We start from the raw sequence: 23,565 nt of genomic DNA, 5'->3' as shown, positions 1-23,565 counted from the left end.
AGTTTTTTTTTTTTTTTGCTGTTCTGATAGTTTTGTTTTGTTTTGTTTGCTTTTTGCTCTTCTGAGAGATAAAGGAGACACAGGAAGTGTCACACATCTTGAAGGTCATTCTTGCGATGGGTTTATTGCAGGAGATGATGGACCAAATGGCTCTGACACATGCACACGCTCCTGGGCACGCCTGCTGCGTGCTCGCTTCCCATGACCCCCAGGGCCCTCTATGCCTCCCCCCCAGGGCACCCTGCCCACTGCCCCCACTTCATGTACCACCAAGCCCTTTCCTTTTCTGGGCACCACTCCTGAGCAGCGTGACCAGCGGCCTCCAAGTGCATGTGGCTCAGAACATAAAAGCATCTTCAACATTCGTCATTGAGCCAAACGAAACACAGTGTTTGGCTCAAGAGCCGGCGACAGCCTGCATCCCTATCCACACGTGAACCTGCCCTTGGCTTGTGACCGGAGGGATGGCCGCTCTTCCTTGTCATCCAGCACCCGGAGCATGTATGTGCCCAGATAGATGAGAAACTGTCCCGTCACCTGGGCGGAGTAGGACAGGAACCGCAGCAGACTCCTGTGGCAGAGGCAGATGGGGAGGCTTTAGCTTGGGATTTTGGGCCAGTGAGAAACAGACAGGATGGGAATACTTCACTCCCCCCACCAAAAGGCACTCGGAGGAGGCCAGGCTGACATTTAGAGCATGGCTGTCTGACTCTCAGAGTGCACGTGTCCCAGGGCTGGCACAGATGCAGCTGCCGTGGCAGTGGGTCTGGCCAGGAGCAGGTCTCTGTGAGCTCCCTGAGGACCCCCTTGCTGCTGGCCCAAGACCACCGCAAGAAGCACGGCTCCCATGAGCCACCTGAAGTGCGGCCTGCTTGTTGAGTGGCTGGCAAGCTCTGTGTGGAGCAGATGGCCGCACCCGCACAGGTGTGCTGTGTCCTGGGCTTCGGCTGCTGGGCTGTTCTAGGGGCCCTGCTACTGAAATCCCTTCCCTTCCTAAGGTAGTAGCAGGACATTCAGCAGTGACTGAGCCCATGGGGATGCGATAGCCAAGCCTGGGCAGCTGTCTCATCAGGAGGGCCCACTGCCCCCAGCACCCACAACAGGGTCCCTAGCAGGCGGTGCCTCCAGTGTGGGGGCTGTCGTGAGTTCCATGGCTGCTTGTGGTGTCATCGGATTTATCAGAGAATACAAATTAGTAACAAGAAGGCTGAACTTGTCTTTCAAGAAAGACTTTGTGGCCAGGTGTGGTGGCTCATGCCTATAATCCCAGCACTTTCAGAGGCTGAGGTGGGAGGATCGCTTGAGTCCAAGAGTTGGAAGCTGCAGTGAACTATGATTGTGCTACTGCACTCCAGCCTGGGGGACAGTGTGAGACCCTCTTTCTTAAAAAAAAAGAAAAAGGGCCTGGAATGTGGTTCATGCCTGTAATCCCAGCACTTTTGGAGACCGAGGTGGGTGGATCACCTGAGGCCAGTAGATTGAGACCAGCCTGGCCAACATGGTGAAACCCCGTCTCTATTAAAAATACAAAAGTTAGCTGGGTGTGGTGGTGCATGCCTGTAATCTCAGCTACTTGGGAGGCTGAGCCACGGGAATGGCTTGAACTTGAAAGGAGGAGGTTGCAGTGAGCTGAGATCGTGCCCCTGCCCTCCAGCCTGGGCAGCAGAGTGAGATTCCGTCTCAAAAAAGAAAAAAAATAAGAAAAGAAAAAGAAAAAAGATTTCACTGAGGTGGAATTTTGGGTGAGGTTAGCTTTCTTCATCTTACCTTTTTCAGTTGTTGTAACTCTCTTGCCTAACTTTTAAAATCCAAGTGTAAAGCTATTTTCTCCTAACCCGGCAAAAAGGAAAAGACAAAAAAAAGGAAGCTCTCCTGGGAGTCAAGACTCCAACACTATGACAGTGACTGTAGTTTAGAGTCAGCCACTGATGGCTCTGAATGGGAAACTGAGGCCACAGAGAAGCCACACACCCTGGCCCACCTCAGGTGAGGCCAGGAGACCTCTGAGAGGAGGGCATTTCCCCTTTGCTGTGCTCAGCACAAATCAGAGCAGTTGTCAAGGCCACGGGGGACGGAAACAACACCCTCAAAGAGAAACGGGCGGCCCTGCCCACAGGGACGTGCAGGGGGCACTGGAATGGCAGCAGCTGCAAAACTTTTCGACTTGAAGACCTTTCTACTGCAATCAGCCACTCTCCCATCCACTCCCTCCACAGAGGTTAGTTCTTTAAGGATCAACGGTAAATTTACTGGAGTAGAAGTAGGTGTAGTTAGAGCCCTGGCAATCATAAAGAGCTTGGAAGCAACCTTTTCATTTTATTTATTTTTTGTTTGTTTATTTATTTATTTTTGAGACACAGTCTTGCTCTGTCACCCAGTCTGGAGTGCAGTGGTGTGGTTATGGCTCACAGTGGCGGATCTCAGCTCACTGCAACCTCCGCCTCCTGGGGTTAAACAATTCTCCTGCCTCAGCCTCCTGAGTGGCTGGGATTACAGGCATCCGCCACCACGCCCAGCTAATTTTTGTATATTTAGTAGAGACAGAGTTTCGCCATGTTGGCTAGGCTGGTCTCGAACTCTTGGCCTCAAGTGATCTGCTGACCTTGGCCTCCCAAAGTGCTGGGATTATAGGTGTGAGCCACCATGCCTGACCAACCTTCTCATTTAAAGATGATAAAAGCAAGGCTCAGAGAAGTTAAGGAGTCTGTGAAAGGTCACACAGCTGATTCCTTAGAGCAGGGACTGCTGGTGTTTCTCTCAGTCCCAGGCTCAATGGCAGGGGTGGCACCCAGTTATGGGGCAGGAACACCCAGGAAGGCTCCTTTTGATCACATGGAATTTGTTTGAATGGGTCTGGGGTATGGCTGGATCAGGAGTCTGTCTTCTAAAAGTTCTGTTTCCTGGGATGCTGTGCAACCAGCCTGGCCTTCGTCTTTGGGATGACGGTGCCCTGGCATTATGTGGAGAGGACACACGCCCATGCCACATTACTGGTAAGGCTGAAGTTATCAGGAGTACAGGAGATACATGCAAAGGCGTGTGATTCACCAGGGTCTAGGTGACCGTTCTGTACAAACCCGGCCACGACCTCCATGGCTCTGGTTTTAGTCATCATCACCTAGAATTAAGTGCTCTAGTTCTTAAAATGAATGTGGTTCCTCTTTATATTTATTATTTAGCTTTTGTTTCTAATGAATAGTTAGTGGTCTTTGGAAGAAATAAATCTGTTTTGGCTTGAGATTTTCTGTTGTGTGAGATGAGCCTGTGGGATAAGAGTTGACCTCCAGACAACATTACTCCAACTGCCCCTAACAGTGCTAGCCGGCCTGGGAGCCCAGAGGAACAGGGTGGGGACTGCTGCCTGTGCCACACCCTGTGCAGTCTGCAGACCCCCGGAGGTGACCCCTGGAGTGTGTTACCTCAGCAGGCCCTTGAGTCCCGTGCACCGGATGTCGTAGGACACGGAGTACATCTCATACATGGTGGCCTTCACGTTAAGGCAGCCGATGAAGTCCTTGGGGTTCAGCCTGTACAAGTCGAAGGTGACTCTCGCTATTCCCGACCTCTTCGGCGGCGAGCAAGTGGGGACGTGCTGGCTGCCCTGTGACAATGGGGGGAGGGGCAGGCTTCAGGAGCCTTCCTAACCCTCCCACGTCATCACTCTGCTCTTATGCCAGCTTCAGATTCTCCTATGTGTCTGTTTAAGGTCTGTGAGCGGCTCCGTGGCTAATCGATAGAGAGATGCTTTCAGCAGGACCCATTTGCACACACTACGACTGTGTCCAATTAGCCACGAGGCGTCTGTCCCTGATCTGCCTTCAGTTCCGGACTCAGGGTGAGTCTGGTGTGGCGTCAGGGCCTGGATTTTAGGACCCCGTTGCTCAGTGGATAGATGTGCCCTGATGAGTGGTGGGGACCCACTCGCCCTGGAGGCCACCATGGTTACCTGGTGACAAAAGAATCTCATCTCATCACTGTAACACAGTTATGGTAATGGAGAAGCAGGCAGCATTGGTTCAATTTTATGGGGGCTACTGGGTGGAAAGTACCAGAATCATATGGCTGAAGTGAGGGCAGAGTGGGCACCTTCCCAGAGCACCTCTGTGTTTTAATAACCCCCCAGGGTTGAGAGCGGACTCCATGGGGAAGCCCAAAGCCATGCAGCAGAACCCCTGGGTGGGAGGAGACCCCCCTGGGTGGGAGGAGGAAGTCAGTGACCTCTACACATCCCAGGTTTATAAACAGCACCGGAACAGAATTTTCCCCACAAAATGGTTTAAAAATATGAGAGCAAAGCTGCCCCCAGTACAAATGACAGGCCAGGAGCTGTTCTTTCTGAGTGGCTTGTGCCACATACAGATCTTGCAGCACTCAGGATTCGGGTCTACACAGGGTTACTAGGTCTTGTGAGCCTTCGAGGTTGGGAGCCGCTGAAGCTGTGAATGGTAAATTCACCAATGACAGTGACCTCATGAATGGGAACTTAAAATGTAAATACCCCTAAAATTACCCAAACCCTCCTCGCCGTGGCCAGCCTTCTTTATTCCCCTGTCCCACCATACAGACAAACCCACCTGTGGTTCCAGTTGTAGCCTCTAATTCGGATCATACAGAATTTGTTTGAATAGATCTGGGGTATGTATGGATTAGGAATCTGTCAACTAAAAGCTCTCCCTCCTGTGACACTTTAAAAATATAAGAGAGCAAAGCTGCCCCAAGGTACAAATATCAGGCATTTGTCTTTGACTTGAATTTGTCTTTCAGGAAACATTTTGTGGCCAGGCACAGTGGCTCATGCCTGTAGTCTCAGCACTTTTGGAGGCTGGGGCAGGAGCACCCCTTGAACAGGGCAGGAGGTTGAGGCTGCAGTGAGCTATGATTGTGCTACTGCCCTCCAGACTGGATGACAGAGCAAGACCTTGTCAAAAAAAAAAGAAGGAAAAAGAAAATAAAATTTTGTGAGGTGGAATCTCGGGTGAGGTTGACTTCATCATCCTTTTCTAAGCGGTTGTAGCTCCCTCTTATTACTTTAAAAATCAAAGCTGAGGCCGGGCACAGTGGCTCACACCTGTAATCCCAGCACTTTGGGAGGCCAAGAGGAGCAGGTGACCTGAGGTCAGGAGTTTGAGACTAGCCTGGTCAACATGGCGAAACCCCGTCTCTACTAAAAATACAAAAATTAGCCGGGCATGGTGGTGCACACCTGTAATCCCAGCATTTTGGGAGGCCGAGACGAGCAGATGACCTGAGGTCAGGAGTTTGAGATCAGCCTGGCCAACATGGCGAAACCCTGTCTCTACTAAAAATACAAAAATTAGCCAGGCATGGTGGTGCACGCCTGTAATCCCAGCTACTCAGAAGGCTGAGGCAGGAGAAGCACTTGAACCTGGGAGGTAGAGGTTGCAGTGAGCCGAGATCGCGCCACTGCACTCCAGCCTGGGCGACAGAGTGAGGCTCCATCTCAAAACAAACGAACAAACAAAAAAACCCAACCAAACAACAACAACAACAACAACAACAACCCCCCCCCAACCCCCCCCCCCCACACACACACTCAAAGCTGAGGCTGAGGCCGTTTTCTCTCAGCGGCCTCTTGGGGGCGCCAGCGAGCCCTCAGCCGGGAAACGTGTTTGGAAAGCTCAGATCCTGGCATCAGAGAGGGCTTCTCCTCCCGTCCCGCGCCTCTTTTTCCGAGCCTCACATCCCTTTCTGACTTTTGAAAGTTTTAATTTTACTCTCCCTAAATGTCTCCAGTCTTGGTTAAAATTATGACGCCCTCCCGCCGCGGATCCGCTGGGGCCTCGCCGGGCGGGGGCTGCGGGGCCGCGCTCTTCCTGAGGGCGCTGGGACCGGGGAGCGAGACACCTGCTGGCGGCTTCCTGCTCCAGCGTTCTGGTCTCAGTCTAAACTGGTTTTGCCCAGAAAGGCCTACAGGTGGCTGGGATCCAGGGAGGTGGTTGCGCAGCCGAAACGGGGGCCGCGAGCCCCCTGGAGCGCGTGGCCGGCGGTGGCATCTACACCCGTGGCATCGACCGCCCCCACCACCCTGCCCTGCAACCAGGTTCCCAGCGCCCACCACCAACTCCTCCCTGTTAGCTGAGTGTCTCCTTTAGAAAAACAAACCCGCCTTTCCCATCTCCTACTGCTGCTGTAACAAACGACCAGAACCTCAGTGGCATGAAACCCACACACCAATGCTGTCCCACTGCCGAGGTCAGAGTCAAAGCCAGGGCGCAGGGCCGCCGTGGGGGCTGCGGGGCAGGCCCGGCCCCTCGCTTTTCCCGGCTTCTTGGGCGCCTGCCTTGGTGGGTACCCCACATCTCTCCTCCTCCTCTGCCTCTGGCCTTCATGCTCACCTGCCTCCCTCTCATAAGGACCCTTGTGAAGACTTCGGCCTCTACCCAGATGATCCAGGACAAACCCCACCCCAACCCCGCCCCAGTAACCTTCACTTAATCCCATCTGCCACGGCTGAGGATTAAGACAGGGGCGTCTGTCCGGCCGCCTGGGCTCACGCCTGTAATCCTAGCACGGTGGGAGGCCGAGGTGGGTGGATCGCCTGAGGTCAGGAGTTTGAGACCAGCCTGGCCAACATGGCGAAACCCCGTCTCTACTAATAATACAAAAATTAGCCGGGCGTGGTGGTGGGCGCCTGTAATCCCAGCTACTCGGGAGGCTGAGGCAGGAGAATTACTTGAACCCTGGAGGTGGAGGTTGCAGTGAGCCCAGATCACGCCATTGCACTCCCTCCTGGGCGACAAAAGCAAAACTGTCTCAAAAAAAAAAAAAAAAAAAAAAAGAAAAGAAAAAGAAAAAGAAAAGAAAACAAACAGAGGTGTCTGTGGTCTGTGGGGGCATTATTTTTGCTGTTACACTTTCCTCAAGCAAAAAGCCATGCAGACCAATATTTGCTTTAAATGATTTGTCTAATTCACCCCACAATTAATAGTCTCATCTACAGACATCTCCCCACCTGCTTTTTTTTTTTTTTTTTTTTTTTTTTTTGTGAGACGGAGTCTTGCTCTGTCGCCCAGGCTGGAGTGCATTGGTGCTATCTCAGCTCACTGCACCTCCAACTCCCAGGTTCGAACAATTATCTGCCTCAACCTCCCAAGTAGCTGGGATTACAGGTGCCTACCAGCATGCTTGTCTAATTTTTGTATTTTTAGTAAAGACGGGGTTTCACCCCGTGGGCCAGGCTGGTCTTGAACTCCTGACCTTGTGATCCACCCACCTTGGCCTCCCAAAGTGCTGGGATTACAGGTGTGAGCCACTGCGCCCAGCCCTCATCTACATTAAAGATTACATTTTATTCTAAATATTATGCTTTTATAATTGGTCTGTGGTTTCTTTCCCAGTCAGGAAAATTGTGAGGTTATATATATAATATATATGTATATGTATAATATATGTAGAAGTAAGGGACAGAAAGACGTAAAATGAAACCTACACACTGCCATCCCTTAGAGACCCCATCCACCTCCCACATCTCCCCTCCTCTCAAGAGGTTTTTATGCCATGCGTTTTCCCCTTACTTTTCTCTATTTTTAGCACATGTGTATCTCAAACATTATATTGTTAATTTTGCATATTTTTGAATTATCTGTAAATGATTTGATGTGGAGTTTATCAAAGTGTAATCTGGAGACATCCAGGAATCCTGAGGCCCTATTAAGGGACTGAGAGGTCAAAACTAGGCCAAGCACGGTGGCTTATGCCCGTAATCCCAACATTTTGGGAGGCTGAGGCAGGTGGATCACTTGAGCCCAGGAGTTCAAGATTAGCCTGGGCAACATGGAGAAATCCCATCTCTAAAAAAATACAAGCATTTAGCTGGGTGTGGTGACATGCACCGGTAGTCCCAATTACTTGGGAGGAGGAGGTGGCAGGATCCCTTGAGCCCAGGAGGTGAAGGCTGCAGTGAACCAAGATAACGCCACTGCACTCCAGCCCGGGTGACAGAGCAAACCCTGCCTCGAAAAAAAAGAAAAAGAGAAAGAAAGGCCATAATAAACAGTAAGATGCAGTTTGCCTTCTTTGTTCTCACAAGAAGTGCTGTTTCCACAGCACATTTGGAAAACCTGCATAACTCAGTGAATCAGTTTTTCTCAATGACCAACGCCTGCTGTTACAAAATCATCCCCAGGAAAAAGGTCCATTCAAAATGGAAGACGGACTGATGGATTCACTGTAACAGAGGAGGCCAACTTCACTGGTATACCTTCAGATTACACGCTGCATCTGACCTTTCTGAAAACACCTCAACTCACTATTCTGAAACCATGACTTGGTGAGTTCTGGCATAATATAAAAAAAAGAATATCCTCAGTTATCTGAATAGGCTATTAAAATCCTCCTCCTTTCCCAGCTGCATATCTGTGTCAGGATGGATTTTCTTCATACTTCCATCAAAACAATATGTTACAACAGACTGAATATAAAGAAGCAGATATAAGAATCTTCTATTAAGCCAGACATTAAAGAAATTTACAAAAATGTAAAAAATGCCGTTCCTCCATCTTTTTGTTTTGGAAAATAGTCACTTTTCATAAAAATATGAGTTAAATTAACCTGGTGGCTGGTCGTGGTGGCTCGTGCCTGCAACTCCAGCACTTTGGGAAGCTGAGGCAGGCAGATCACAAGGTCAGAAGTTTAAGACCAGCCTGGCCAACATAGTGAAACCCCACTAAAAATACAAAAATTAGCTGGGCGTGGTGGCAGGCACCTGTAATCCCAGCTACTTGGGAGGCTGAGGCAGGAGAATCGCTTGAACCCAGGAGGTGGAGGTTGCAGTGAGCCGAGATCACGCCACTGCACTCCAGCCTGGGCGACAGAGCGAGACTCCATCTAAAAAAAAAAAAAAGTGAGTTAAGTTAATCTGTATTGGGTTATTACTTTTAATGAATTAATACCTATTTTTAAATTTCTGAATTTTAATTTCTTTCAAAAATATGCTAATCAGTAACTTCCAAACAATTTGAATTTGAATATTGGCTGGGCGGGGTGGCTCACGCCTGTAATCCCAGCACTGTGGGAGGCAGAGGTAGTGGATCGCTGGAGCTCAGGAGCTTGAAACCAGGAGTTTGAAGCCAGCCTGGCCAGCATGGCAAAACCCTGTCTCTACAAGAAGATACAAAAATCAGCCAGGCATGGTGGCACATGCCTGTAGTCCCAGCTACTTGGGAGGCTGAGGTGGGGGAGCCCAGGAGGTCGAGGTAGCAGTGAGCTGAGATCGTGCCACTGCACTCCAGAGTGGGCGACAGAGCAAGACTGTCTCCAAACAAAAAGCAAACAAATTAAAAAAAAAAAAAAACCACTGGGGGCGGTGGCTCATGCCTGTAATCCTAGCACTTTGGGAGGCCAAGGTGGGTGGATCACCTGAGGTCAGGAGTTCGAGACCAGCCTGGCCAATATGACAAAACCCCGTCTCTACTAAAAATGAAAAAAAAAAAAAAAAAAAAAATGGCCGGGCATGGTGGCAGGCACTTGTAATCCCAGCTACTCAGGAGGCTGAGGCAGGAGGATCCCTTGAAGCCAGGAGGCATAGGTTGCAGTGAGCCGAGATCGCGCCACTGCACTCCAGCCTGGGCGACAGAGCGAGACTCCATCTCAAAAAACAAGCAAACAAACAAAAAACAATTTTGACTATTGGGAATATCTATATCTATCTATAGCTTATAGTTTCTCGACCTTGACACTAACGACATTGGAGGCTGGATAAGTCTTTGCTGTCGGGGTTGTCCTGTGCATTGCAGGATGTTTGGCAGCATCTCTGGTCTCTACACACTAGATGCAACAGCCTAACATGTCTTCAGACATTAACAAATGTCCCCCAAGGGACAAAGTCTCTGCAGCTCAGAACCTCTGATTGGCACATGTCTATAGAATTTATTGATACAAGCCGGGTGTGGTGGCTCATGCCTGTAATCCCAGCACTTTGGGAGGCCAAGGCCGGTGGATCACTTGAGGTCAGAAGTTCAAGACCAGCCTGGAAAACATGGTGAAACCCTGTCTCTACTAAAAATACAAAAATTAGCCAGGCGTGGTGGTGGCTTGCCTGTGATCCCAGCTACTTGGGAGGCTGAGGCACAAGAAACACTTGAGCCAGGGAGGCAGAGGTTGCAGTGAGCCGAGATCATGCCAAAGGCTGTTTGGGGTCCTCGTTAATTTTTAGGAGAGTAAAGAGGTCCTGAGATAAAGTTTGAGGATGCGTTGTTTACTGTATTATCCTGTGATCTTTTGCTCAGCATAGCTGATGTGTATCCACATGGATGCCTGTAGCTGAACTTCACACATTTTCACAGCTGAAGAGCATTCTGTTCAGGGACCACATTACAGTTTCTTCGTGTGTATTTACTTAGAAGTACTTCTATGTGCTGGGCACACGTGTGTGCTGCAAGGGTACATGATTTGTTTCCAGTGTTTGTTCTCACCACTTAGGGCATTGCTGCCATGGACGCTCTAACACACACCTGCTGACGTGGTGTTGTTGGAATCTCAGGTTCATGCCCAGGAAAGCAGCTGCTGGGTCATAGTCTGTGCCTCACTCTCTGAGATGAAGCAAATTGCTGCATTAAGTAGCTGTTGGTGGTAGTAGAGGAGTGTGTTGCCCTATATCTTAAAAATAAAAAAATCGGCCGGGTGCGGTGGCTCACACCTGTAATCCCAGCACTTTGGGAGGCCGAGGCAGGTGGATCACAAGGTCAGGAGTTCGAGACCAGCCTGTCCAATATGGTGAAACCCCATCTCTACTGAAAATACAAAAATTAGCCAGGCGTGGTGGCACGTGCCTGTAGTCCCAGCTACTCGGGAGGCTGAGGCAGAAGAATCACCTGAACTCGGGAGGCAGAAGTTGCAGTGAGCCGAGATCACACCACTGCACTCAAGCCTGGGCAACAGAGTGAGACTCTGTCTCAAAAAAAAAAAAAAAATGACTTGTGCATTGTATCTTGTTTTAAAAAAATCCTTCCCTACGTGAGGATGCCAAAGAGAGAGAGATTAGATTTCAGTCTGGTCTCTAACATCCTTCGTGTTCCCCACCTCTACTGCTTTGTGTTACATCACAGGCAACATCTTTCAGATCTTTTATCATTACCTTCAGCTCTGTCTAACCTGAGTCTCCATTTACTTGATTTTAGTTGTTATATTTTTCATTTCCAAAAATTCTATTTGATTATTTCAAATCTGTATAGTCAGTTCTTATTAGCTCTTGTTCCTTTTTAATGTATTTTTATTTTTTGAGACAGGGTTTCCCTCTGTCCCTGGGGCTGGAGTGCAATGGTGCAATCATGACTCTCTGCAGCCTTGACCTCCCAGGAGCAAGTGGTTCTCCCGCCTCAGCCTCTCAAGTAGCTGGGACTAGAGGTATGCACCACTACGCCAGGCTAATTTTTGTATTTTTTGGTAGAGATGGGGTTTTGCCATGTTGCTCAGGCTGGTATTTTCTTATTTTTTGTTTTTTTTGATATAGGGTCTTGCTCTGTCACTCAGGCTGGAGTGCAGAGGTGTGATCATAGTTCATTGCAGCATCCAAGTCCTGGGCTCAAGTGATCCTCCTGCCTCAGCCTCCTGAGTAGCTAGGACTTCAGGTGTGTAGCATCTTGCCCAGCTAAGCCTTAAAAAAATTTTTTTTGGTGGAGATTGGGGTTTTGCTGTTGCCTAGGCTGGTCTTCAATTCCTAGCTATTCTTATTTTAGATTATTTTTAATGTTTCTTTGAGCATTTAATTAATTTATTTATTTAGTCAGTCAAACTTAGCCATGGGTGAGCATTTTTAGTACACTAATTTTATACTGTATGTCTGATGATTCCAACATCTGCGGTCCTGGCAGGCCTGACTTGATTGCTTCTGCTTACTCTCATGAATGTGGTGCCTGAGTCCTTACGTTCTGTGTTTTGATTGTGAACTTGCATTGTGAGAACGTTACGAATGAAAACTCTTTGAGGCCAGGATGGATGTTCATCCCAAGCGGAACTGCCTGAGCTCCTGCTAGTTACCTGGGGCACTATCAATCCTGGAAACGGGGCTGGAGTAAAGAGAATCCAATGAGCAAACCCCTCCATTGATGCTACTCCCCCAGATCTCTGAAAACCGAACTCTCAGCTTAGGGGTTTGGGACTCAGCAATGCCTAAACCCTCATGAGGGCAGCTTGTGGCCCAAATTGCCAGGAGAGAGCTCTAAGATTCCCTGCTTTACGCAGACCCTCACATCTCACCCCTTGACTTTGTGTCAGCTGGAGGCTGTCTCCTGTCCTCCCAGCATCTGTCCCTGAGGTCTGTGGGTGCTCACAGGTGGGGGAACCCCAGAGGAGATGCCTGGGGAACTGCCAGCTTCAGTGTTCGTGTTCCTCTCTGGATGCTGGCCTCAACATTTTAACCACTGAGGATTTCTCTTTCTTGGAGATCAGTTTATTATGTGAAAAGATATTTTGATATTGTGCTTTACATTTTTAGGCATTTTATACTGAGAAGGTTTTTTGGGCTATATCATCTATAGTTTTCCCAGAGACCGAAGGCTTCATTCTGTCTCTTTACTTTTCTAAATCTCCATATTCACACATGCACACACACCCCTCTCCCTAACTTCCTTGATGGTGTTTACTTCTCCAGCCTTCTAAGAACAGAGATGGTGAAGAGTTGCCAAGTCAATTCCGTGCATTTACAGGATCTGTAGCTACTCACTGGCCAAAGCCTGTTCCCTGGAATTATTTGCTTTATATCAAATAGCCTCAGTTCACAGAGAGACTAAGTTTCCTAGAAACATTTGTAAGAATCCCTTTGAGGGCAGTGGATCCAGTTGTTAGGTGAATACAAAGTGCATATTTAGAAAGTGGAGAAGTTGGCCGGGCGCGGTGGCTCACGCCTGTAATCCCAGCACTTTGGGAGGCAGAGGCGGGCGGATCGCGAGGTCAGGAGATCGAGACCATCCTGGCTAACACGGTGAAACCCCGTCTCTACTAAAAATACAAAAAGTTAGCCAGGCGTGGTGGCGGGTGCCTGTAGTCCCAGCTACTCCGGAGGCTGAGGCAGGAGAATGGCGTGAACCCGGGAGGCGGAGCTTGCAGTGAGCCGAGATCGCGCCACTGCACTCCAGCCTGGGTGACAGAGCGAGACTCCGTCTCAAAAAAAGAAAAAAAAAAAAAGAAAGAAAGTGGACAAGTCAACACCCAAGTAGGGCACACAAATTTGTAGGTAAAAAGTCTACCCAGTAGCTGTTTGGGTGACAGTGTTTTTGCTTACCGGCATCCACTTCTGTCCTTTTTCCAAGATCATGAAATGCGTGTTGTCTCCCAAGGTCTGAAAGAACTCTTCTGTGTCCACCACGGTGCCATCTTCCTCCAGCACCAGAGTGACCAGTCCGGTAGCGATGACGAGGGCATCCAGAGTCTAGGTGTGCAACACATCAGAGAAATGGAGTGAAGCCAGGTATTTCCATGTGACCAGCCAATGACATTTATTAAGTTACAGTTTTCAAAAGTGTTGGGCTGATTCTGATAAAATTTTAATGGTAAAGGTAACCTTGACTTGTGTCTATGACTCAGTCTTTGCTTGGAAACAGGGAAGTGAAGAATGTTCTTTTTAAGATGGGGACCCACTATGCTGCCCAGGCTGGAGTGCAGTGGCTATTCACAGACACAATCATAGTGCATCACAGCCTCAGACTCCTGGGCTCAAGCAATCTTCCTGCCACAGCCTCCGGAGTAGCTGGGGCTACAAGTACATGCCATTGCATGCGGCCGGGAAGTTAAGATTTTTAATGGATCTGTCTTCTTAAGATACATGAGGTAATGATTACATTAAATAATATTTGTAATTTCTAAGATTACCTATTTATTTAGATGAATAAAAAGAAAGCTCTTGCATGTTTGCTGCTGTAAGAGCCACAGCCTCGTGTGCGTAGCTGAGTGTCTCTCTTGCTTCAGAGACTGCATGTTGGATGCTTGTTTCTTGTTTCCATGGGTGCCTGAGTCTGAGTTATGCTTCTCTGAGAGGCTGGGATTCTTCCTTATTTGGTGGTCTAGGACACTGTTCTAGATCCTGGCCTTTACAACCAAACCCAGACTTCCAAAGTCGGCTCCATCCCTGCATCCTCCCTTGTCAAAGAAACAAAGCAACATTCTCCATTAGTGACTGTTTTAAGGTTTTTGTCTCTGTACCTCAATGTTTTATGGTACAGAGATGTAATGTTCCCCTTGATCATTTATACCTAACCTTTACTCTCAGAGTCTCTGAGGCCAAGAGAGGGTCTGATGAGTTTAACTTGCTGTTTCTCCTTCTTTCTTTTCCTCCTCTTTTAAAAACAGCTTTACTGATGTATAATTCACATATCATATGATCCACTCATTTAAAGTATACGGTGCAGTGGTTTTTGGTATGCTCACAGAGTTGGCCCACCGTCACCACAATCAATTTTACAGCACTTTCATCACCCAAGAAAGAAACTGGCATGCACTTGGGAGGTTGAGGTGGGAGGATCACTTAAGCCCAGGAGTTTGAGGCCAGCCTGGGCCACATGGCAAGATCCTGTCTCAAAAACAGAAAAAGAAAAAGAAACTCCATAACCACCAGCAGTCATTCCCAATTTCTCTCCCCGTTTCCCCCCAGTGAGATGCTGCTTTTCTTGATCTTTCTGTGCTGGCCCTGGCTTAGAGCCCAAGACCATGGCCCTGTGTGAGTGCAGGGCACCCCTGTGGACTGGGGGAGAGGTGCGGGATGTGGGGCACCTTGCTGATGAGCTCCTGCAGGCTGCTTGCCATCACCCCACGCCGGCTGCTCCTGTCATGGTTGGAGACCCGGAAAGGGCGAGCTGGATGCATGAGCGGGGTGAACAGGACTCGCTTAGTCTGTGATCCCATAAATGTCAGGGGCCTGAAAATGGAGGTGAAAAGTAAAACTTTTTAAAAAGAGTCTGTCAGAAGAAGTGTGAAAGTACATAAAAATAATGCATTTTTAATATTTGCATCTAAAAGAAAGAAATTCAGTTGTTGGGATTACTAAAAATTATATATACAAGTGTACACATAATTCCAAAGAAGAAACAAGTAACACATCAAGCCAAAACACACATCCATCTTTATTCCTATTTTACTAGAACATCCAAAGTCCTTGCTGAAACTCTTTGAGAAGGAATGGTTAGGGAATTCAACTCAAACAAGAAATAAGAATTATATTCTGCAAATATGGGTGGGAGATTTAAAAAATCCAAAAGAATGATTTCTAGTGGCCATGAAGTAGTTACGCAGAGTTAGAGACTCAGTGCACTCAGACACGTGCACATAGCTACATGTTTACACAATAAGGGTAAGCCAGAAATCAATTCAAAAGTGCAATATTGGTCACTATAGCAATCAATGAAGTTTCTGAAATCAACTTAGGAGGAACCAAGAACAGCAGAACCACCCTTAGAACTGTGGCTGGAATCACAAGAAAGAAAAGACCTTCAGGGCTTACATCACAGGACACTTTGGATTAAGTCCACATTTATCAAAGAATTAATTCAAAAATTTACTTTTTTTTTCTCCTTTTAGATACAGGGTCTTGCTTTGTTGCCCAGGCTGGATTGCAGTAGTGTGATCTCAACTTACTGCAGCCTTGACCTCCTGGGCTCAAGCGATCCTCCTGCCTCAGCCTCCTGAGTAGCTGGGACTATAGGTGCAAGCCACCATGTTTGTCTGAGTTTTGTATTTTTGTAGAGACAGGGCCTTACTTTGTTGCCCAGGCTGGTCTTGAACTCCTGGGTTCAAGCAGTCCTCCCTCCTGCCTCAGCCTCCCAGATGAAGCTTTTGATAGCAATTTAAGAAATGCAAAACCTGCTGGGCATGGTGGCTCTCATGCCTGTAATTCCAGTGCTTTGGGAGGCTGAGGCAAGAAGATAGCTTGAACCCAGGAGTTCGAGACCAGCCTGGGCAACATAGTGAGACCCTGTCTTTACAAAAAAATAAAAATAAAAAAAAATTAGCTGGGTGTGGTGGTGCAGCTATACTCTCATCTACTCAGGAAGTGGAGATGAGAGGATTGCTTGAGCCCGGATGAACCTAGAAGGTCAAGGCTGCAGTGAGCCAAGGTTGCACCACTGTACTCCAGCCTGGATGACATAGTGAGACTCCAACTGAAAGAAAAAGAAAAAAGAAAAGAAAAGGGAAACTGCCTTCAACACATGATTGCATGCTTTTAAACCAAAAAGCATGAAGGCATGAAATTTTATAAAAATAACTCCAAGAGGGGAGACACAGTTACCCTGCTGCTGTCACTAGAAGGGGGGCCAGTAGAGCCACATGTAGAGTTTTCACCCAGGACCGCAGACTTTTGTTTGTTTGTTTGTTTTGAGATGGAGTCTCGCTCTGTTGCCCAGACTGGAATGGTTCAAGCGATTCTTCCGCCTCCTGGGTTCAAGCAATTCTCCTGCCTCAGCCTCCTGAGTAGCTGGGATTGCAGGCGTGCACCACCATGGCCAGCTAATTTTTTGTATATTTAGTAGAGACTGAGTTTCACCATGATGGCCAAGCTGGTTTCAAACTCCTGACCTCAAGTGATCCACCCACCTCAGCATCCCAAAGTGCTAGGATTTCAGGCGTGAGCCAGCACTCTTGGCCGACTTTTTTACATTCAGAAATAGATTCATAACAAAATGATTGCAAATAACACAATCAGAAATCAGCAAGGGTTCAGGTCTTACCTAGAGCCAGGCACCGTGATAGTGGCATCTGTGTGACCTCATTGAATCCCCATGCCCCCACAGAGCAGGACTGGACACTTCCCTCACCCCGGAGAGCACCCACCTACCACAGGTGCTCAAATTAGTGGCTATTTGGACAAATGCTTGTACACGGACATTCAAGAGAATGAAACAAAGGGTGTAGTTTCAGGACAACCTTGAAAAAGACACAAAGTGAGCACATCACTGCTTTTTGACTCTTAGAGCAGTTTTTCTGGATTAACTCACTGAATGCTAAAATACTAGGGAACACCTGCACGGATTGCCAATGCCTGTCACCTGCGATTTGGCACTTTATGACACACAGCCATCTATCCATGCTTTATTTTCTGTATGGATAAAGACTTCGTTGTTATATTTCCTGTAATACCTAGCTTAGTTGTAGGCACATACATTTTAGATAGTATATTATCTAACTTAAAGCTCTGCAAATGGATCCAAGTGAAAATTCAATGACTTACCAAATTGTTTGTAATATAAAAAACCGATAGTTGGCTGGGTGCAATGGCTCATGCCTGTAATCCCAGCACTTTGGAAGGCTGAGGCAGGAGGGTCACTTGAGCCCAGGAGTTAGAGACCAATCTGGGCAACATAGTGAGACCCTCATCTTTACAAAAAATAAATTGAAAAAAAAAATTAGTCAGGCGTGGTGGTGCATGCCTGTAGTCCTAGCTACTTGGGAGGCTGAGGCAAGGGGATTGCTCGAGCCCTAGATTGGGGCCACAGTGCACTCCAGCCTGGGCAAAAGAGTGACACTGTCTCTAAAACAAACAAACAAACAAACAAACAAACAAACAAACAAAAAACAGACCAAAAACCTGAGAGTAGAGTAACAAGCTGGCTCTCAAAAATCGCCTTGTTGAGTTCACGCTACCAGCTTGATCCCAGTTTCAGGCTTTCCATAATCGTGAGTGTTTGTGCCTTCTCCAGGTGCCTCACCAACAAAGTGTCGTTCTAGAACCAGACCAAGGTCATTGGCAAGAATTTGGTCTGGAGTATCCTTGGCCAGGATGACATCAGGGCCTCATAACTGCTGGCATCTAAGCACCATGGCCAGCAGTGTATTAGCAATTTCAGCTCTTGTTAATGTTAGTTCAATTTTTGTTTGTTTGTTTTTGGAGACAGAGTCTCGCTCTGTTGCCCAGGCTGGAGTGCAGTGATGCCATCTGGGCTCACTACAGCCTCTGCTTCTCGGGTTCAAGCAATTCTCCTGCCTCAGCCTCCTGAGTAGCTGGGGTTACAGGCGCCCGCTACCATGCCTGGCTAATTTTTGTATTTTTAGTAAAGAAAAGGTTTTCACCATGTTGTTCAGGCTTGTCTCCAACTCCTGACCTCGTGATCTGCCCACCTTGGCCTCCCTAAGTGCTGGGATTACAGGTGTGCACCACCATGCCCATTAATTCAATATTAATTAATATTAGCAAATTATCCTCACAACCTTGCAAGGAAACTATTGCCCCACTTCACGGATGAGAAAACTGAGGCTCAGAGTGGCTTCTCCAAGTGGGCCAGTCAATAAGGGAAAAAGATAAAACCTGATCCCAGGTCTGTCCAAAGCCAAGACTTTTTTTGGTTGTGGGAGCAGGTTGTTTTGTTATCCATCCTCTGAACTTCAAATCTCAAGCAATAAACATCTATCTAGAGGGCTGTGCGGAAAAGCTGCTCTATGGCTGAAAGCACAGCAGCGCTTCGAGTTCATGCCCTCAACGCCTTTCCCTTCTGGGTAGACAAAGTTGCTACACAGTTTGTTTTCAATGAGGCAAGCCCGAGGGAAATGTGCTGGGTTGGGGCTCCGGACCTGTCAGAATGACCCGCACACGTTTGCCAGGGACCCACCTAGCCAATCAGAGCCTCGCCCGGCCGGGCTGTGCACCAACGCGGCCCCAGGACTGGCACACAGCTTCTGAACTGTCACCTCGATTAAGAGAGTGACGCAGGGTTCTCAGTTACACAATGCCATAAACAACACTGCTGTGCTGACACCACGGGGAATTCGGGCACACTCTCACTCCTGGTGACCCGGGGGGAGAGGGCGGTGAGGACGGGCTGTGTTACATTTCACGTTCAGAACCCTGGCGTCGCCTCCACCTCATCATGGCAGCTGAAATTTAAACTAGCTGAAGTCCCCTCAAGGAGGGTGACAGAAAGGCCCAAGTGCCGCTGGATGCCAAACCCTCGTGTGTGAGAGCTAGCGCCTTGCCTTACCACTCCTTGGGATCCACCTTACAGTGAAACCTAGGCCTGGGGAAAGCAGGAGGCGAATCGTCAGGGCAGCAAAGGCTAGACCAGGGTCTGAATCCAGCTCCGGCTTCCACCCAGCGGTGCGGCACCTGGCCAGAAGACGCGGCTCCCACAAGAGAGAAGGGCCCGGCCTCAGCAGCGAGAAAGAGCCCCTCTTCGCCCCCAAGGCAGGAAGTCACCACAGTCTTGCACAAGGCCTCTAGCATCTGTCTCACGGAGTCTGGCGGTGCATCTCCTACTTTCCCACAGCGCCTGTCAGCACGCCATCTATTTACTGAGTGAAAGATGCTAGGCCAAAATCAGAGAAATGAGAGAACATGGTCCATGTCTTCCAATGCTAGGTCCAGCCCCAGTGGTCAAAGGCGCAGCCCTGGCCCTGCATCTCCTCATTGGACGAACATGCTCACGCCTTCGTAAGCACCTGTGCTCCGGTGACCTGGCCCAGATGATTAATTCCAGGTTCCTGCGGTCTTTACCTGTCTGACAAGATAAGAGCTGGCAACCATTTCTGGTTCTCCCTGCCTTCACCTGCCCTCAAGATTGCCATCGTCAGTGAAAAAACACCTATTGTTCTCACCTGTAGCATTTCCAAACCAAGAGCTGCGTCACTGCTGGAGGAAAGGCTGGTGGGGGCACAGAGGAAAGGAAATTTACACCCCACCTTCTTGTCAAGGAGGAGGTGAGTGATTTCTGGGTCAAATTATGTAAAATCAAGGCTGTCTCATATGTAACACAGAAAGGGGTTGAATGAGATGTTCTGCACGCCAGGCCTATGTACTCCAGGACCCTACAGGTACCGAATCTGCTGCTACATGAACAAGCCACCGTCTCCACCCAAGTCACCTCCAGCCCGCTGAGTAGAGTCATCTCTATCACTGGCCATCAGCACCGTGCCTAAAAGCAGGGCCACTGAGCGGCCCTAGGATCCTGCGTTTAGACACACCACACATGAGAACTGCCGCTCCTAATTCCTGTGAAAGTGGGGGCACACAACCACAGGAAACAGAAAGGGAAATAACCCTCTAACAGGGAAGATATAAGGAAACAGTTTGTTTAAGGAAGTAGGCTGTTTCACAGAAATCCAGAGAGGAAAAGTCAGACTTCATAGAACGCTGTGAAACGGCATGTCTCTCAGGAACAGGTGGGAAGGGAAGGTTTTGTATTCTGCCCCGAGGGAGGCAGGGCGCCGCCAACTTCCAAAAGTGTGTGAAATACACCAACAAGCCACAGACTGACAGTAGACCTGAACTCTTCTCCAGTAAAACAAACCTGAGCCGTACAGAGAATTAAAAAGCTTTCTTTACATGCCACCTATGGAGGAAAAGGGCCCAGTATTAAGGTCTTCCTCAAAGTGAAATATTTTGGTGTCATGGGTGAGGGGGCAGCAGTACAGGCTGTGTAAAATAGTGCCTGGGAATATTCAGGGGGCAGTGATGGCTGAGGGAACTCTGCATCTCATCATTAGGAAGAAAAAGAGGCAGCCACCGTGGGAGGAAGAAGCAGTACACAGGAATTGGACAGAAGCCAACCGAGCACTGTCACCAAGAGCAGCAGGGAATGCCAAGGAGGGAAGTGTGAGGTCAAGCACAGCCACGCAGAGAAGGAAGGGAGGGCTGGGAAAGTGCTCCACAGGCCTGGAGAAGAGTCCCTGAGCTGTAGAGACAGTGTCAGAGGATGGTGGGGTCAGTGGCAGGAAGCAGGGAAGCAAGTGCTGCCTTGACGAGACTTCCTGCTGCCCGGCTCCCCTAGGGCTCTTGGACGTGACATATGCAGGTGGGAGCACACCTACCCCCCAGATAAACTCGCCCCGACAAGGACTGCCTGGTTCATGGCTCAGTTCTTCGCAAGCTACCTAAAGGCTTGACATTATCAAGTGTTCAATACATGACCATGAAGTCTTTGAACACTTTGCAGTTTCGTTAAAATAAGAATTTAAATTCAAGAAGCAGAAAGCTGAGAGATTGACTTGTAGCATACTTAATTCCTTACTAATGTCACTAAGAAGACTGGTGAAATTTGTACTGAAATAGCAGCACAAAACCTAGAGTTCCTTGTTCAAGGAAAGGAAAAATGTGCTAGATAGCTATGAAAGCAGCCATTTCACACGAAGCTTATAACATGTACCAGCTTCATAACAACTTCAGCGTTTGGCAGGAATGTTATCACTGGCAGAACACAGGAACAGAGCAGACTTTGTCTGTGATAGTCAACCTGCATGTGGACCTCCTTGATGTCTGGAGCTTTGTTGTGAGACCTCAGGCTGCTTTCCTCAGGACCAAGGCCCCTAACGATTCTAGCTGACTAACAAATGCCTGGGTTAAGGTTTCACCACTGACTACAAGTACCTGATTTTTAAAAATTTTTGTGCACATTGATTCGGTTCTTTCCTTGGTAAAATGTAGTTACTAATAAAGACAGAATTATGACATCCTGGACCTGGTTTAAATTAAGGAACCCTGAGAGGAAGCCGAAGTCCAGCAAGAGCACAATTAGCAAATATGTTAGGACCTGGCCTCTGGCTCTTTTGCCCGGACAGGGTTTTAGAGAGGGGCAGGGAAGAAAAGGTGTTTTCCCTTCAACAAGAATTACAGATTGTTTTCTTCCAGTTTAGTTTGGTAACAGGTAGATTTCACAGAATGACAGTAGTCCAGCCTGGGAGCAGGTAGATTTCACAGAATGACAGTAGTTCAGCCTGGGAGCAGGTAGATTTCACAGAATGACAGTAGTTCAGCCTGGAAGCAGGTAGATTTCAAAGAACTGCAGCAACAGCTTGTCCATAACAGGTAGAGTCATTCACTCCTGGGATGAGCCAAGCTGGAAGGAATGTGTCCTAGGAGACTCAAGGTTTCCCAATGTTTCATTTGTCAACAGCTCATAAGCAAGTCACTTCCACTTCACACGACCTCACAGAGACCCCACACAGATGCATTTTGGATTTTGGTGAGCTGTTATAATAGTCAGAGGCAGGGACAGGCTCAGCCTGAATCCTGCTCAGAGGCCAACCAGGATTGGTTAGTGCGAGTCAGCCCACACCTCCTTCCCCCATGCTCCGGAGGAACAGTGGGTGTGTTGTGAATTCACTGGAAAAGTGGTTGGAAGGACGCATTCCAAACTGCTAAGACCTCCCCTCCTGGAAGTGGGACTGTGGTGTGGATGGTTCTGGAAGAACGCAAAAGATACAGGGCCCTGACCTTTAGGCCTAAGCGTGTTAATGACCATACACGAAGCAGGTGTTTCTCAGCGTCCCCCTGCCACCGCCCCGACTTGTACTGTGGGCTTATTTTTAAAGAGAAAGATGCTTCTAACCTGCAGTGTCTACAACAGCTCCCATTTAAGAACCCGGGATTGGAAGCTCATAGATTGCGTTTCGTAGCCGGACCGCTCCCTTTCACACATGTAGTCTCTCTGCCCGCCACACGTAGCACACACAGTGGGACCCGGCGCCGCTGAACGCCTGCACCTTCAAGCCCGCAAATGGTTCTCTATCCTTTTCCAGGTACTTGATCTTCAGAGAAACACGATCTCCCTCTTAGACCTTACTTTACAGTTGCTGCCACGCAATGACTTAGGATTTTACCAAGAATTGGCTTGGGTCTGTTGGGATATGAATATTAACCCAAGCAGGAAAATAGCCAATGCTGCCTGTTCGACCACGAGCGGGTGCGAAGCGCAGGGAAGACTCCTCAGGGTCCACCCGCCCCTTGTCCCCCCTGCTCCCCAGGCAGCGTCTCCGCCCTTGGACCCGGAGGCAAGGAGGAGCGCTTCTCCCAGCACCACCAACCTGGAGGGCTCCGCCGGACGGTTGGGGCCTCCCCTCGGAGACCAGAGCCCGCGCTTCCAGGAGGGGCCAAGCCTGGGCCCCTCCCGCGCCCAGCTCCCGTTGTGATTTCCAGGACCCCCAGAAGCCCGGTCCCCTCGCATCGCGGAAGCTTTGCTCGGGGTTCCTGGGACCGGACCCTCTTCTGCGCCCGCGACTGCAGCAGCGGCCAGAGATGCATGCAGCCACTCGCCAGCTGTCACCTGGTTTGCAGACGCCCGCGCACCTCGCAAGAGCCACACCTGGTACCTGTGCCCAGCTGCAAGAGGGTGAGGAGGCGCGGGACGGGATTGGGCTCTGCCCGCGGGCGCGGCTGGACGGCTTGGGCACCAGTGGGGCGGATGGGTGTGTGCGCGGGGTCGCGGAGCGCAAGAGAATGCGGGGAGCAGGGGGCTGAAGGGAGCGGGGTACGGTACTAGAGGCGCACAGGGGAATATGAGGCCACCGAACGCAAGGCGATTGGAAGCGCACGGCAATCAGGGGGACGCGGGGCACTCGCCTGATGAGGGCTCCTGCATAGTCCCGGGCGGCCTCCATGGCGCGGATCCCCTAGCGGGCCTGGAGGTCTGTCTGCCTGCACAGCCTCTTAAAGTGCGGCGGCCCCGCCCCCGCCCGCCTGCCAGCCCCGCGAAGGCCTGACTGGCGCAGGGGAGGACGTTTTGGCACGAGCTCTCCACCGCCGAGGATCGCGACTTCGCGCTCTGGGAGCCCCCGGTCGTCCTGGCTCCCGCAGCCTGGAGCCGCGCGTCCTTCGCTGCCTTGGGCCGTACCGAGGACCTTGGAAGCCCAGAT

General features: G+C 49.3%; 1 protein-coding gene and 1 long non-coding RNA gene across 4 annotated transcripts, besides 3 other annotated features; both read right to left on the bottom strand.

The window, feature by feature from the left end:
- Window positions 99–23,333, bottom strand: CIDEA (cell death inducing DFFA like effector a). Of its 3 annotated transcripts, NR_134607.2 has the most exons (6): window positions 22,738–23,333; window positions 14,725–14,869; window positions 13,828–14,094; window positions 13,241–13,387; window positions 3,420–3,601; window positions 99–571 (listed from the first exon to the last, which is right to left on the bottom strand). NR_134607.2 is itself a non-coding variant. In NM_001318383.2 (5 exons), exons 1-5 carry the CDS (start codon window positions 22,875–22,877, stop codon window positions 424–426), a joined length of 762 nt encoding a protein of 253 aa, NP_001305312.1. In that variant the 5' UTR covers window positions 22,878–23,333; the 3' UTR covers window positions 99–423. The 3 variants fall into 3 exon arrangements, 2 of the variants coding, with proteins under 2 accessions (NP_001305312.1, NP_001270.1); NM_001318383.2 differs by lacking the exon at window positions 13,828–14,094; NM_001279.4 differs by lacking the exon at window positions 13,828–14,094 and having other exon boundaries at window positions 23,273–23,333.
- Window positions 799–1,422: an enhancer, noted in NCBI's record as "H3K27ac-H3K4me1 hESC enhancer chr18:12276271-12276894 (GRCh37/hg19 assembly coordinates)". NCBI's record gives its function as "activates a minimal SCP1, AML or CMV promoter by ChIP-STARR-seq in primed H9 embryonic stem cells {active_cell/tissue: H9 hESC(primed)}" and the evidence as "EXISTENCE:reporter gene assay evidence [ECO:0000049][PMID:30033119]".
- Window positions 5,673–5,852: a silencer, noted in NCBI's record as "silent region_9307". NCBI's record gives its function as "represses an Ori minimal core promoter by ATAC-STARR-seq in GM12878 lymphoblastoid cells {active_cell/tissue: GM12878}" and the evidence as "EXISTENCE:reporter gene assay evidence [ECO:0000049][PMID:35858748]".
- Window positions 18,935–19,435: an enhancer, noted in NCBI's record as "H3K4me1 hESC enhancer chr18:12258258-12258758 (GRCh37/hg19 assembly coordinates)". NCBI's record gives its function as "activates a minimal SCP1, AML or CMV promoter by ChIP-STARR-seq in naive H9 embryonic stem cells {active_cell/tissue: H9 hESC(naive)}" and the evidence as "EXISTENCE:reporter gene assay evidence [ECO:0000049][PMID:30033119]".
- On the bottom strand, window positions 20,238–22,681 carry LOC105371996 (uncharacterized). Its single transcript, XR_935158.3, has 2 exons — window positions 22,263–22,681; window positions 20,238–22,115 (listed from the first exon to the last, which is right to left on the bottom strand). It is a non-coding gene; the product is annotated as an uncharacterized LOC105371996 (long non-coding RNA).

Source organism: Homo sapiens, chromosome 18 (genome assembly GCF_000001405.40).
Source record: "Homo sapiens chromosome 18, GRCh38.p14 Primary Assembly".
In the NCBI taxonomy this organism is placed as follows: domain Eukaryota; kingdom Metazoa; phylum Chordata; class Mammalia; order Primates; family Hominidae; genus Homo; species Homo sapiens.
The sequence above is the reverse complement of the archived record's forward strand: the minus strand, read 5'-3'. Positions and strand labels throughout refer to the sequence as shown.

Bases quoted from the DNA above. Each gene is read 5' to 3' on its own strand.
- CIDEA (NM_001318383.2), bottom strand. From the start codon at position 22,877: ATGCGAGGGGACCGGGCTTCTGGGGGTCCTGGAAATCACAACGGGAGC. The intron at 13,388-14,724 runs GTGCCCCACATC...TTGCACACCTAG, and splicing joins TGCAGGAGCTCATCAGCAAG to ACTCTGGATGCCCTCGTCAT. The intron at 572-3,419 runs GTAACACACTCC...CCTCTGCCACAG, and splicing joins GGACTCAAGGGCCTGCTGAG to GAGTCTGCTGCGGTTCCTGT.